Raw genomic sequence first — 16,937 nt, 5'->3', positions numbered from 1 at the left:
GTTACCTCATAAATTTCATGTTTTGCTGTCTGCTAACGTCTTCTTTTTATTGTCTCTCTTTTTCTATTAAGTCCTAAAAATATCACTAATTGTGTGCATTGCTCAACATATTGATGGGTACCAGTATAATTTATTTCAGATAAACTATTTTAGATTTTTTAATATTCAATTCAGTTATGACTACAATATAAGGCATTTTCAATAAAGACATTCCATTTTTATTTTTAAATTTCATTATCATTTTGGGAAACACATAGTGTTTGGTTACATTAATAAGTTCTTTAATGGTGATTTCTGAGATTTTAGTGCAGCGATCAACCAAGCAGTGTTCGCTGTACCTAATGTGTAGTCTTTTAGCCCTCTCCAGTCCCCAACATTTCTTCCAAGTCCCCAAGTCCAGTGTATCATTTTTATGCCTTGGTGTTTCATAGCTTAGCTGGCACATATGAGTGAGAATATACGATGTTTGGATTTCCATGCCTGTGTGACTTCACTTTGTATAATAGTCTCCAATTCCAACCAGGTTGCTGCAAATGCTATTAATTAATTCATTTTTATGGAAGAATAGTATCCCATGGTATGTATATACCACCTTTTATTTATCCACTCATTGACTGATGATCATTTAGGCTGATTCCATCTATTTGCAATTGCAAATTGTGTTGATATAAACATGCAACATGTAAGTACCTTTTTTGTATAATGACTTCTTTTCTTCTGAGTATATACCTTGTAGTGGTATTGCTGGATCAAATGGTAAATCTACTTTTAGTTGTTTAAAGAATCTTCACACTGTTTTTCCTAGTGTTGTAATAGTTCACATTCCCATCAACAGTGTAAAAGGGTTCCCTTTTCACCACATCCATGTCAACATCTATTATTGTTTGATTTTTTGATTATGGCCATTCTTGCAGGAGTGAGTTTGTATTGCACTGTGGTTTTGATTTGTATTTCCCTGATAATTAGTGATGTTCAGCATTTTTCCTTATGCTTTTTGGCCGTTTGTATATCTCCTTGAGAACTGTCTATTCAAGTCCCTTAGCCCAATCCCAGTTTGATGGGATTGTTTGTTTTCTTCTTGCTAATTTGTTTGAGTTCTTTGTAGATTCTGGATATTATTCCATTGCCAGATGTATAGATTGAGAAGATTTTCTCCCACTCTCTGGGTTGTCTGTTAACTCTGTTGATTATTTCTTTTGCTTTGCAGAAGTTTTTTAGTTTAATTTAGTCTTATCTTTTATCCCCGCACCTCTTTTTTTTTTTTTTTTTTGCATTTTCTTTTGGGTTCTCGATCATGAAGTCTTTGCCTAAGCCAATATCTAGAAGGGTGTTCCCGATGTTATCTTCTAGAATCTTTATGGTTTCAGGTTTTAGACGTAAGTCTTTGATTGGCCTTGAATTTATTTTTGTATAAGGTGAGAGATGAGGATTCCGTTTCATTATCCTACATGTGGCGCGCCAATTATCCCAGCAGCATTTGTTGAATAGGTTGTCCTTTCCCCACTTTATGTTTTTGTTTGCTTTGTGGAAAACCAGTTTGCTGTAAATATTTGACATTATTTCTGGGTTCTCTATTCTATTTGGTTTGTCCATGTGCCTATTTTTATACCAGTACCATGCTGTTTTCATGATAATGACTTTATAGTACAATCTGAAGTTGGGTAATGTGATATTTCCAGATTTGTTCTTTTTGCTTAGTTTTGCTTTGGCTGTGCAGGCTCCATTTTGATTCCATATGAATTTTAGGATTGTTTCTTCTAGTTTTGTGAAGAATGATGGTGGCAATTTGATGGGAATTGTATTGAATTTGTAGATTGCCTTTGGCAGTATGGTCATTTTCACACTATTGATTCTACCCACCCATGTGCAAGGGAGGTGTTTCCATTTGTTTGTGTCATCAATGATTTCTTTCAGCAGTGTTTTGTAGTTTTTCTTGTAGAGGTCTTTCATGTCCTTGGTTAGGTATATTCCTTAGTTTTAGTTTTTGTTTTTGTTTGCAGCTATTGTAAAAGGGGTTGAGTTCTTGATTTGATTCTCATCTTGGTCACTGTTGGTTTATAGCAGAGCTACTGGTTTGTGTGCATTAATTTTGTATCCTGAAACTTTGCTGAATTCATTTACCAGTTCTAGGAGCTTTTTGGATGAGCCTTGAGGGTTTTCTAGGTATATGATTATATCATCAACAAACAGTGACAGTTTTCCTTCCTCTTTACCAATTTGGATGCCCTTTTTTTCTTTCTCTGGTATTATTGCTCTAGTTAGGACTTCCAGTACTATGTTGAATAGGAGTGGTGAGAGCGGACATCCTTGTCTTATTCCATTTCTCATGCAAAATGCTTTCAACTTTTCCCTATTAAGTTTATTATTGGCTGTCGATTTCTCACAGTTGGCTTTGATTATCTTATGGTATGTCCCTTCTACACCGATTTTGCTGAGGATTTTAATCGTAAATGCATGCTGGATTTTGTCAAATGCTTTTTCTTGTCTATCTAGATGATCATGTGATTTTTCTGTTTAATTCTGTTTATGTGGGGTATATCACATTGATTGACTTAGGTATGTTAAACCATTCCTGCATCCCTGGTATGAAACCCACTTGAACGTGGTGGATTATCTTTTTGATATGCCATTGTATTTAGTTTGCTAGTATTTTGTTGATGATTTTTGCATCTATGTTCATCAAGGATATTGGTCTGTACTTTTCTTTTTTTGTTATGTCCTTCTCTGCTTTTGGTATTGAGGTGATAGTGGCTTCATAGAATGATTTAGGGAAGATTCCTCCTTTATCTTTTGGAATAGTCAATAGGATTGGTACTAATTCTTCTTTGAATGTCTGATAGAATTCAGCTGTGAATCTGTCTGGTCCTGGACTTTTTTTTTGTCGGCATTTTTTAAATTACCATTTTAATCTTGCTGCTTATTTTTGGTCTGTTCAGAGATTCTATATTTTCCTCATCTAATCTTGGAGGTTTATATATTTCCAGAAATTTATCCATCTCCTCTAGGTCTTTTAGTTTATGTGTATAAAGCTGTTCATAGTAGCCTTGAATAACCTTTTGTGTTTCTGTGGTACCAGTTTTATTATTGCCTGTTTCACTTCTTTCTTTCCTTTTCTTTTCTTTTCTTTTTTTTTTTTTTTTTGATGGAGTCTCACTCTGTTGTGCAGGCTAGAGTGCACTGGTGCAATCTGGGCTCACTGAAACCTCTGCTTCCCGGGTTCAAGCGATTCTCCTGCCTCAGCCTCCTGAGTAGCTGAGATTACAGGCACATGCCACCACACTGGGCTGATTTTTGTATTTTTAGTAGCAATGGGGTTTCACCATGTTGGTCAGGCTGATCTTGAACTCCTGACCTCATGATGCCCCCACTTCAGCCTCCCAAAGTGCTGGGATTACAGGCATGAGCCACCACGCCCGGTCACCTGTTTCATTTCTAATTGAGCTTATTTAAATCTTTTCTTTGATTGGTTAATCTCACTAATTGTCTACCAATTTTATTTATCTTTTCAAAGATCAGCTTTTTGTTTCATTTATCTTTTGCATTTTTGTGTTTATTTCAATTTTATTTAGTTCTCCTCTGATCTTCTTCTGGGCTTGGGTTTGGATTGTTTTTGTTTCTGCAGTTCAGGGAGGTGTGACCTTAGATTGTCTATTTGTGCTCTTTCAGACTATTTGATGTAGGCATTTAATGGTATGAACTTTCCTCTTAGCACTGCTTTTGCTGTATCCCAGTGGTTTTGATAGGCTGTGTCACTATTTTCATTCAGTTTAAATAATTTTTTTTAGTTTCCATGTTGATTTTATTGTTGACTCAACAATCTTTCAGGTGCAGGTTATTGAAATTCCATGTATTTGCCTGGTTTTGATTGTTCCTTTTGGAGTTGATTTCCAGTTTTATTCCACTATGGTCTGAGAGAGTACTTGATATAATTTTGATTTTCTTAAATTTACTGAGGCTTGTTTTGTGGCCTATCATATGGTCTATCTCAGAGAATGTTCCACGTGCTGATGAATAGTATATTCTGCAGTGGTAAGGTAGAATCTTCTGTAAATATCTGTTAAGTCCATTTGTTGTAGTATACAGTTTAATTTCATTGTGGCTTAGTTGACTTTCTGTTTTGATGACATGTCTAGTGTTCTCCATTGAGTATTAAAGTCCCCCAATGTTTTTGTGTTGTTGTCTATCTGATTTCTTAGGTCTAGTAGTAATTGTTTTATAATTGGGAGTTTCACAATTAGGTGCATATATATTTACAATTGTGAAATTTTCCTGTTGCACTACTCTTTTTATCATTTTATACTGTACCTCTTTTTCTTTTTTTAACTGCTGATATTTTAAAGTTTGTTTTTTCTGATATAAGAGTAGGCACTCCTGCTCAATTTTGGTTTACATTTGCATGGAATATCTTCTTCCACCCCTTTATAGTAAGTTTATGTGAGTCCTAATTATTTTCCAAACTTTTACATTTCTCTTCTTCTTCAGGAACATGAATTATTCTTAGATTTGGACATTTAACACAGTTCAAAACTTCTTGGCGGATTTTTCATTATTTAAAATTCTTTTTTCTTTGTCTTGGATGGATTGGTATAATTCAAAAACATCGTCTTCATCTCTGAGGGTCTTTCGTCTGCTTGTTCAATTCTATTGGTGAGACTTTCCCATGCATTTTGCATTTCTCTCAGTGTTTTCTTGATTTCCTTGAAGTTGTTATTGTTTTTTATTCATGCTATTTCACTGAAGAATTTTCCTTTCATATTCATATTCTGCATTATGTTTTTGATTTCTTTAAGTTGGACTTCACCTTTCTCTGATGCCTCCTTGATTAGCTTAATAACCTTCTGAATTTTTTTTTCTGGCAATTCAGAGATTTTTATCTTCGTTTGGATTCATTGCCGGCGAGCTGCTGTGATCTTCTGGGGGTATTAATGAACCTTGCTTTGTTATATTATCAGAATTGTTTTTCTGGTTCCTTCTCATTTAAGTAGACTATTTCAGAAGGAAAATCCGGGATTCAAGGGCTGCTGTTTAGATTTTTTTTTGTCCCACTGGGTGCTCCCTTGATGTGGTGTTCTCCCAGCTCTCCTAGGAAAGGGACTTCCTGAGAGCCAAACTGTAGTAGTTGCTTTTGCTCTTCTGGGTCTAGCCACACAGGGGAGCTACCAGGCTCTGGGCTGGTACTAGGGAGTGTCTTCAAAGAGTCCTGTGATGAGTTCTGTCTTCAGGTCTTGCAGCCATGGGTACCGGCACCTGCTCCAGGGGAGGTAACAGAGGAGTAAAATGGACTCTGTGAGGGTCTTTGGTTGTGTTTTTGTTTAGTGTACTGGTTTTGTGTTGGTTGGCCTCCAGCCAGGAGGTGATGCTTTCAGAGCGCAAGAGCTGGAGCCCTATAGTGAGGATGCAAACTTGCCCTAGGGACACCCTTTCAAGTATTCATGTTTCTCAGCTGGTGGGCAGGGCCTTAGAGCTCCCAAGAGATTATGACCTTTGCCTTCGGCTACCAAAGTGGGTGGAGAAAGACAATTAGGTGTGGGCAAAGATAGGCGTGTCGGAGCCCAGCCTCTCCTTGGGTGGGGCTTGCTGTGCTGCTGCTGTGAGGTCAATGCAGGTGTAGTTTCCAGTCTAATGGAGTTATATTCCCAGGGAGATTATGGCTGCCTGTGTTGCAACACACAGGTCATTAGGGAAGTGAGAGAAAGGCAGCAGTCACCAGTCTCACCAAGCTCCCACATAGCCCACAGTCCTAAAGGCCAGCCGTACTCCCACTGTGCCCTCATAACAGCACCGAGTCTATTTCCAAGCAGCTGGTGACCAGGGCTGAGAACTCATTCCAGAACATGAGCCTCTCTGTTGAGAAAGGAAACAGATTCACAGGTTTTCAGTGTCTCAGGGAGCCCGCAGTGGTGATCCAGTTCCTTCAAAGGGTCTGTGGTTTCTCTCAGCTTTCCTGGTATGTTCCTGCAGTAGTTCTTGGAGCAAAAGTTCACAATGTGAGTTTCCACATGCTACTCTGTCCATCTGAGTGGGAGCTGCAAGCTAGTCCTTCCTCCTATCCACCATCTTAGTACTAATCAGAACAATAAAGCTTTCTGTTTTTTCAGTATCATAAATTTTGTGCTGTGCATCCAGGTAGCATACAAATCTTTTTGCAAGGTGTAAACTCAAAGTTTTATTGAGCCTCTTAAAACTCACTTTGGAATAAAAGTTAATATACTGGAGGAGGGGCCAAGATGGCTGAGCAGAAACAGCTCCCAGGAAGGCCAATGCAGAAGGTGGGTGATTTCTGCATTTCCAACTGAGGTCCCCAGTTCATCTCACTGGGGCTGGCTAGGTAGTGAGTGCGACCCACAGAGAGTGAGCAGAAGCAGAGTGGGGCATCGCTTCATCGAGGAAGTGCAAAGAACCAGGGGACCTCCCTCCCCTAGCCAAGCAAAGAGGAGATGGACTGTGCTGCCTGCCTGCGGTACTATGCTTTTTCCGTGAATTTTTGCAATCTGCAGAATACGATATTTCCATGAGAGCCTACTCCACCAGGGCCCTGGGTTTTGAGCACAAAACTGGGTGGCTGTCTGAGCTGGCACTGAGCTGCAGGAGATTATTCAGACTCCAGCGGCACCTGGAACTCCAGTGTGACAGGAGAACTGTCCACTCCCCTGGAAAGGGGGCTGAAGCCAGTGAGCCAAGTGATCTCGCTCACCGAATCCTACTCCCATGGAGCCCAGCAAACTAAGAACCACTGGCTTGAAATTCTCAGTGCCCGCACCGCAGTCTGGAGTCTGCCTGGGACTATCGAGTTTGGTGGGAGGTGGAGGAGGGGGGCGAGGGGAGGTCGCCATTACTGTGGCTTAGTAGGCAGTTGTACCCTGATAGTTCTAAAGAAACTGGGAGGTTCGGACTGAGTGGAATTTACCACAGCAAAGCAAAGCAGCTGTGGACAGATTGCTTCTCTAGATTTCTCCTCCCAGGGCAGGCCATCTCTGCAGGAAATCCAGAAGCTCCATTCAGGGGCTTACAGACAGAACTGTCATCTTCCTGGCACAGAGCACCTGGGGGGAGGAAAGGCTGTGGTCACAGGTTCAGTGGACTTAATCTTTCCTGCCTGCCAACTCTGAAGAGAGCAGCTGATCCTGACAAGGGGGGTTCTCCCAGCACAGTGCACCAGCTCTGCCAAGGGACAGATGGCCTCCTCAGGCAGGCCCCTGACCAGATGCCTCTTGACTGGGAGAGACCTCCCAATAGGGGGTGGCAGACACCTCATACAGGAGAGCTCTGGCTGGCATTAAGCTGGTGCTCCTCTGGGATGAAGCTTCCAGAGGAAGGAGCAGGCAGCAATCTTTGCTATTCTACAGCCTCCACTGGTGATACCCAGGCAGACAGGGTCTGGAGTGAACCCCCAGCAAACCGTAGCAGACCTCCAGAAGAGGGGCCTGACTTAGAAGAAAAAGTAACAGATAGGAAGCAACAGCAACCAAAACATCAACAAAAATACCAACCCAACAAACCCTAACCAAAGATGATCAGCCTCAAAGATCAAAGGTAGATAAATCCATGAAGATGAGGAAAAACCAGCACAAAACACTGAAAATTCCAAAAGACAGAATGTCTCTTCTCCTCCAAATGATTGCGATACCTCTCCAGCAAGTGCACAGAACCGTATTGAGAATGAGATGAATGAATTGACAGAAGTGGTCTTCAGAAGGTAGGTAATAACAAACTCCGCTGAGCTAAAGGAGTATGTTCTAACCCAATGCAAAAAAAGCTAAGAAACCGATAGAAAGTAAGAGTAGTTGCTAACTAAAATAACCAGTTTAGAGAGGAACATAAATGACCTGATGAAGCTGAAATCACAGCATGAGAATTTCATGAAGCACACGCAAGTATCAATAGCCGAACTGATCAAACAGAAGAAAGGATATCAGAGATTGAAGATCAACTTACTGAAATAAGGCATGAAGACAAAGCTTAGAGATGAAGTAGAAAAAAAGGATATCAGAGTTTGAAGACCATCTTGCTGACATAAAGTATGTAGACAAGATTAGAGAAAAAAGGATAAAAACAAACAAACAAAAACCTCTGAGAAATATGGGATGATATAAAAACACAAGTCATTGAGAATGAATCACACAAGACATTGAGAAGTTGGAAAACACACTTCAGGATATTATCCAGGAGAATTTCCCCCAACCTAGCAAGACAGGCCAACATTCAAATTCAGGAAATACAGACAACACCACTGAGATATTCCCTGAGAAGATCAACCCCAAGACACATAATCATCAGCTTCTCTAAGGTTGAAATGAAGGAAAAACTATTAAGGGCAGCCAGAGAGAAAGGTCAGGTCACCTACAAAGGGAAGTCCATTAGACTAACAGCAGATATCTCAACAGAAACCCTACAAGCCAGAAGAGAGTGGGGGCCAATATTCAACATACTTAAAGAAAAGAATTTTCAACCCAGAATTTCATACCCAGCCAAACTAAGCTTCATAAGCGAAGGAAAAATAAAATGCTTTCCACTCAAGGAAATGGTAAGAAATTTCATCACCACGAGGCCTGCCTTGCAAGAGGTCCCAAAGGAACCACTAAATATGAAAAGGAAAAACTGGTACCAGCCACTGAAGTAACACAGCAAAATATGATGACCAATGATACTATGAAGAAACTGCATCAACTAGTGTGCAAAATAACCAGCTAGCATCATGATGATGGGATCAAATTCACACATAACAATTTTAGCCTTAAATGTAAATGGGTGGAATCCCCAATTAAAAGACACAAACTGGCAAATTGGATAAAATGTCAAGACCCATCATTGTGCTGTATTCAGGAGATCCATCTCACATACAAAGACACACATAGGCTCAAAATAAAGGGATAGAGGAAAATTTAACAAGCAAATGGAAAGCAAAGGAAAGCAGGAGTTGCAATTCTACTCTATGATAAAATAGACTTTAAACCGACAATGATCAAAAAAGAAAAGGAAGGTCATTAAATGATGGTAAAGTGATCAATTCAACAAGAGGAGCTAACTATTCTAAATATAGATGCACCAAATACAGTAGCACCCAGAGTCATACAACGAGTTCTTAAGAGACCTACAAAGAAACGTAGGCTCCCACACAATAATAGTAGGACACTTTAACACCCCACTGTCAATATTAGACAGATCAACAAGACAGAAAATTAACAAGGATATTCAGGATTTGAACTCTGCTCTGAATCAAGTGGACCTAACAGACATCTACAGAACTCTCCACCCCACATCAAAGGAATTTACATTCTTCTCAGTGCCACGGGGCACTTATTCTAAAATTGACCATAATTAGAAGTAAAACACTCCTCAGCAAATGCAAAGGAGTGGAAGTCTTTCAGACCACAGTTCAATTAAACTAAAACTCAGCATTCAGAAACTCACTCAAAACCACACAGTTTCATGGATATTGAATAACCTGCTCCTCAATGACTCCTGCTAAATAACAAAAGTAATGCAGAAATCAAGAAATTCTTTGTAACCAATGAGAACAAAGAGACAACTTGTCAGAATCTCTGGGACACAGCTAAAGCAGTGCTAAAAGGGAAATTTATAGCACTAAATGCCCAATCATAAAGCTGGAAAGATCTCAAATCAACACCCTAACATCACAATTAAAAGAAGTAGAGAAGCAAGAACAAACAAATCCAAAAGTTAGCAGAAGACAAGAAATAACTAAGATCAGAACAGAACTGAAGGAGGTAGAGACACAAAAAAACCCTTCAAAAAATCAGTGAATCCAGGAGCTAGTTTTTTTGAAAAAAATTAACAAAACAAACCACAGGCTATACTAATAAAGAAGAAAGGAGAGAAGAATCAAATAGACACAATAAAAAATGATAAAGAGGATATCACCAATGGCCCCACAGATATACAAACTACCATCAGAGAATACTATAAATGCTTCTATGAAAATAAACTAGAAAACCTATGAGAAAATGGGTAAATTCCTGGACACATACATTCTCCCAAGACTAAACCAGGAAGAAGTCAAATCCCTGAAGAAACCAATAAGAAGTTCTGAAATTGAGGCAGTAATTAATAGCCTACCAACCAAAAAAAAAAGCCCAGAACCAGAAGGATTCACAGCCAAATTCTACCAGTGGTATAAATAGGAGCTGGTACCATTCCTTCTGAAACTATTCCAAAGAATTGAAAAGGAGGGACTCCTTCCTAACTCATTTTATGAGGTCAGCATCATCTTGCTAACACAACCTGGCAGAGACAAAACAATAAAAGAAAACTTCAAGCCAGTAAAACTTCAAGCCAGTATCTCAGATGAACATTGATGTCAAAATCCTCAATAAAATACTAACAAACTGAATCCAGCAGCACATCAAAAGGTTATACACTGCAATAGAGTTGGCTTCATCTCTGGGATGCAAGGCTGGTTCAATATGTGCAAATCAATAAATGTAACCCATCACATAAACAGAACCAAGGACAAAAACCACATTATTATCTCAATAGATGCATAAAATTTCTTCGATACAATTCAACATTCCTTTATGTTAAAAACTCTTAATAAACTTGGTATTGATAAAACATATTCAAAATTATAAGTGCTATTTGTGACAAACCCTTAGGCAATACTATACTGAATCACAAAAGCTGGAAGCATTCCCTTCGAAAACCAGCACAATACAAGGATGACCTCTCTCACCACTCCTATTCAGTACTGGAAGTTCTGGTCAGGGCAATCAGGGAATATATTTTTAAAAGCATATTTAAATAAAAAGAGAGAAAGTCAAATTGTATTTTTGCAGATGACATGATTCTATATTTAGAAAACCTCATCATCTCAGGCCAAAAACTCCGTATGCTGATAAGTAAGTTCAGCAAAGTCTCAGGATACAAAATTAATGTGCAAAAAACACAAACATTCCTGTGCACCAAGAATAGTCAAGCAGAGAGCCAACTCATGAATTAACTCCATTCTCAATTGCTACAAAGAGAATAAAATACCTAGGAAAAGAGCTAACAAGGGATATGAAGGACCTCTCGAGAACTACAAACTACTGCTCAAGGAAATAAGAGAGGACACAAAGAAATGGAAAAACATTCCATCCTTATGGATAGGAAGAATCAATATCATGAAAATGGCCATACTTCCCAGAGTAATTTATAGATTTAATGCTATTCCCTTCAAACTACCATTGACATTGTTCACAGTATTAGAAAATATTTCCTTACATTTTATATGGAACCAAAAAGTAGCCCATATAGCCAAGACAATTCTAAACAAAAAGAACAAAGCTGAAGGCATTATGCTACCTGAATTCAAACTATACTACAAGGCTACAGTAACCAAAACAGTATGGTGCTAATAACAAAACAGACATATAAACCAATGGAACAGAACAGAGACCTCAAAAATAACACCATATATCTACAGCCATCTAATTTTTGACAAATCTGACAAAAACAATCAATAGGGAAATTATTCCCTTTCTAATAAATATTGCTGGGAAAACTGGCTAGCCATGTGCAGAAAACTGAAAGTAGACCCCCACCTTACACCTTATACAAAAACTAACACAAGATGGATTAAAGACTTAAATATAAAACCCAAAACCATAAATTTACTCGAAGAAAACCTAAGCAATACCATTTAGGACACACAGATGGGCAAAGACTTCTAGACAAAAACACCAAAAGCAATTGCAACAAACCCAAAATTTGACAAATGGGATCTAATTAAACTGAAGAGCTTCTGCACAACAAAATAAACTAGCATCAGAGTGAACAAGCAACCTACAGAATGGGAGAAAAATTTGTAATCAACCCATCTGACAAAGGTCTAATATCCAGAATCTACAAGGAACTTAAATTTAAAAGACAAAAACAAACAACTTCATCAAAAAGTGGGTAAAGGATATGAACAAACACTTCTCAAAAGAAAACATTTATGCATGCAAAAAAATATGTAAAAAAGCTTATTATCACTGATTATTAGAGAAATGCAAATCACAACAATGAGACACCATCTCACACCAGTCAGAATGGCGATTATTAAAAAGTCAAGAAATATAATAAAGGAAGGTAACAACCCCATCTTTCAGGTTATAGGAAGAACCATTGGTCTAACTTCTGCTGTCATCCAACTCCACATTATAAAACCTATTTAAAGTATGAAGTGGGTTATATTGAGTTAGCTATCAAAAAGAGTCAGATTTCATTCTATCTTTGTAAGCCCTTTGGTGAGTTGCCTGTGATGCATATTACATTTTCCTATAATACTTACTCAAAAATTAAATTGTTTTCTTTTTCTTCTAAATTTATGAAGAGGTTTTTTGGGTTTCAAGAATAGTTTGTTTTTAAGTATATTTCTCTAGCAAAGTACAAAAAATCAAGTTGCACAAGTAAATTGTATGGAATATTAGGAGGTGAAAATACTGTAAAAATAAAATGATAGGAAAACAAAACTCATTATGTTTTGAAATTTTAAATGGAGTTTTCTGAGAATTTTAAATGGAGTTTTCTGAGAAAGCATGGTTGAGGGGTTGATAGTTGAATATTGCTCGCGGGGTATGAGATAGAGAACTGCTAGAGCACCTAGTCTTACCTCTATAGGAGAGGAGAGGATCAAGTGCAAATAGTAACCTGTGTGTTACTATTAGCAAAAGTCATGCAAAACTCAATTATTGCTTGTGAAAAGTCAATTATTGCTTTGCTTGAGTTTAGAAGTTATTCACTAAAAACAGCCTCAGGAAAACATGACATTCAACAGAGATAAAAGAAAATACATCAACCAGCAACACTAAAAATGGGCCAGCCAGCCAAATAAGAATAACTTGAAGGTGCCTACGGAAGGTCAGAAAGCATTGACAAGAAAGCAATAATTAGCTGCCTTTTTGAGACTGTACACATTTTACAATAATGTCTTTATCATTTCCCCTAATTTCTCCTAAAACTCCTGAACCAGAGGCACAACTCAGAAAGGCAGTGTTTGAATGCTAGTTTAATGGCTCCTCTAGGTTGTTGGCTTCTCAAATAAAGGTAACTTTTCTTTCACTAAAGCCTGTCTCTTCAGTTTTTATCTTTCAAACTACAAGTGGTCCAACCTAAGTATGGTTTAAAAGAAGAGTGTAAACCAAAAATAAAAATCTAAGCCTCCAGCTGACTGACGAATCTTCCTCTCAGCCAAAGACATTCCAAAGTAAACCTTACATTGTAGTTCAGGCTGTAATGGAAAGAGGGTGGAGGCTGAACATGCCTCATCGCTTATAGCCTTCTCCCTTTGGAATTCAGGTACAACTGACCAACATCAATCATTAAAACAGATATACTTCTACAATAATAACAGTAAAACATTGGTTCAATAAATTGAGTATGACACAAAAAAGTAAAAATATTCCTTGTTGATGGATTTGAAGAATCAATACTGTTAAAATGTCCATGCTACCCAAAGCAATTTACAGATTCAAACTCATCTCTATCAAAATACCAATAACATTCTTCAAAAAAATAAAAAAATTCTAAAGTGCATATGGAATCCTAAAAGACCTAGAATACCTAAAGCAATTTTGAGCAAAAAGAAAAAAACTGAAGGAATCATAGTGCCTGAGTTAAAATTATACTAAGGAACAATAGTAACCAAAACAACATGATACTGATGTTAAAAACAAACACATAGACTAATGGAATGGAAGAGATTACCAAGAAACGAATCCATACAGGGAACTCATTTTTGACAAAGATGCCAAGAACATATATTGGGAATATTCAGTCTGTTCTATGAAATGGTGCTGGGAAAACTGAATATCCTTATGAAGAAAAATGAAACTAGACAACTATTTCTTGGCTTATACAAAAATAAAATTGTTTTAAATACTTTAATCTACAACCTCAAACTATGAAACTACTAACAGAAAACATTCAGGAAATGCTCCAGGACATTGGACTAGGCAAAGATTTCTTGAGCAATTCACTGCAGGAACAGGCAATCAAAGCAAAGGTGGACAAATGGAATCAAATTAAGTTAAAAAGCATCTGCAGAACAAAGAAAACAATCAACAAAGTAAAGAGACAATCCACATGCCTGGGAGAAAATATTTTAAAACCACCCATCTAACAAGAAATTAGTACTCAGAATATATAAGGGGCTCAAACAACTCTAATTGTCTAATAATTATTAGACAATTAGAAAAAGTCTAACAATTCATTTTTAAAATGGGCAAAAGATTGGAATAGGCTTTCTCCAAAGAAGACACACAAATGGCAAACTGGTGTATGAAAAGTTAAAAATACTATACTTAAAAAGTTAAAAATATTACAGAATTTTCATACGATCCAACAATTTCACTTCTGGGGTATACTCCAAAAATTTGTAAAGAGGGATTTAAAAAGATATTTGTACACTCATGTTTATGGCAACGTTATTTTCAATAGCCAAAAGGTGGAAACAGCCCAAGTGTTCATCAAAAAATTAATGGATAAACAAAATATGGTATATGCATACAGTGGAATAATGTCAGCCTTAAAAATGAAATTGTGATACATACACGTATATACATGGATAAACTTTGAGGCTATTATCCTAAGTGGGATAAGCCAGTCACAAAAGGTTAAATTCTGTATGATTTCACTTAGATGAGATACCTCTAGAGAACCTCGAATTTATAACAACAGATAGTAGAATGGTGGTTGCCAAAGGCTAAGGAAAGAAAGTAATCGTGTAGTTTTTGTTCAGCGGGTACAGTTTAATGCCAAGTACCAGCAGTCCCCAACCTTTTTGGCACCAGAGAGTGGTTTCATGGAAGACATTTTTCCACTGATTGGGCAGGGGTTGTGGGGAAACAGTTTTGGGATGAAATTGTTTCACCTTAGATCATCAGGCATTAGTTACCTTCTCATAAGGATCCCAGAACCTAGATCCTGATCATGCACAGTTCATAATAGGGTTCAGTCTCCTATGAGAGTCTAATGCTGCTATTGATCTGACAGGAGGCAGAGGGCAGGCGGCAATGCTCACTTTCTGCTGACTTCCTGCTGTGCGGCCTGGTTCCTAACAGGCCATGGACCAGCACACCTCTGTGGCTTGGGGGGTTGGAGACCCATGCTGTAGAAAATGAAAAATATCTGGAGATTGGTTGTACAGCCATGTGAATGTACGTCACATTACTGAACTGTACACTTGAAAATAATTAAGATTCTTCTATGTTATGTATATTTTACAGAAATTAAAACAAAATAAAAAACTAAAAAACAGTATCTCAATAAAGAAAGACTCAGGTACTTTTCCTGAGTAAAGAACATTTAAGAGGCATAACTAAGAAAGGCAACTCATCATCTGACTTTGATTCTTTTGCTATATGAAAGGTATTATTGGGATATTTGGCAAAATTTTAGTAGGGTCTGTAGACTAGATGGGAGTAATGTATCCATGGTAACTTCATTATTTGGGCAGTTTTATTTGTTTATGTAGGAGAAAAATCGCTATTTGTAGGAAAGCCACTAAGATATTAAAGAGTGCTGGTTTAAATCTCAAATGATTCTGAGGAGAAAAATTTGTGTTGTTATTGCAACTTTGGAATAACTTTGAGAATGTTTCCAAAAAAGCCTTAAAACTACATAATACCTGAAAAAAGGGCTTGTTTGATATAAAATAAAAATTACACTTTCCATATTACAAAGAAGCAGTTTACATTTTAGCCACTAGAATTTGGAAAATTGAAGACCACCAGTTGATCTGGGTTTGAATTTCTAGTAAGATGCAAAAAAAATACTGTTAAAGATAATAAAATTATCAATTAAATTTAGTAATGTTGCTAGATACAAAATCAATGTAATAACTGCAGTTTTGTTTTTTATGTCAACAAATAAATTAAAATTATAAAGGTACAATTACTTACAACAATGTCAGTAAACATTATATACCCAAAAGATGTGCCAAGTCCCTGTTTTAGGTCCTTATGATAAAACAGAAAACAACTGAGAAAACACTAACAATTATTCTTGAGTAGTTGACATCCAGAGTCAGGTTTGCTAGATGGTCAAATTAAGCAAATCAAGACACAGGACAATATAAAATTTGAATATCAGATAAATAACAAAAATTTATTAGTACAAGTTTCCTGCAAATCCACACTGAACAGAATATTATGTTCATTGTTCATCTTAAATTCAAATTTAATTGGGTACACTTTATTATGTGGTAACAATATTCAGGTGGTAGACCAAAAAATTCAAAAGTGTATCAATAGCTTCATTTGGTTAAGCATAAAGAGCAAAAGAAATTTAAATATCTTCCTGTTGACAATGTAAATTATTACAGTTGGAGAGAAATTTGGAAATTTTGTAAAATTCATACATGAAAGTTCTTTTTCACCATAATTCCACCTTTCATTTATGTTCTGGATAGACTTGAGCATATATTTGAAGGAAAACATGAACCCAAGAAATAGCATTGCTTTTAATTTTCCAACAAAAGAAGAAATAGGTTGTAATTTACTAAAATTGAAAAAAGTACAGCTACATGTGGCTACATATTTCAACATGGAAGAAGTCCACCGAGATTTCTGAAAGAAAGAGCAAATCTTACAAAAACGTACTTTTTATTTATAAATACAGACATTAAAGACATAAAGAGCCCCGTGTCGTGCTGCCCCTCCTGATTAGGCCTCGGGGCCGGCCCTGGCCACTGTCCCTGCAGTGGATGCAATCGCGGCGGCTCCAGTCCTCAGGCGGCTCCAGTCCTCAGGCGGCTCCAGTCCTCAGGGGGTTCCAGTCCTCAGGCGGCTCCAGTCCTCAGGCGGCTCCAGTCCTCAGGGGGCTCCAGTCCTCAGGGGGTTCCAGTCCTCAGGCGGCTCCAGTCCTCAGGGAGCTCCAGTCCTCAGGCGGCTCCAGTCCTCAGGGGGCTCCAGTCCTCAGGGGGTTCCAGTCCTCAGGCGGCTCCAGTCCTCAGGCGG

Source organism: Homo sapiens, chromosome 1 (genome assembly GCF_000001405.40).
Source record: "Homo sapiens chromosome 1, GRCh38.p14 Primary Assembly".
In the NCBI taxonomy this organism is placed as follows: Eukaryota; Metazoa; Chordata; class Mammalia; order Primates; family Hominidae; genus Homo; species Homo sapiens.
Note: the sequence above shows the minus strand (reverse complement) of the source record.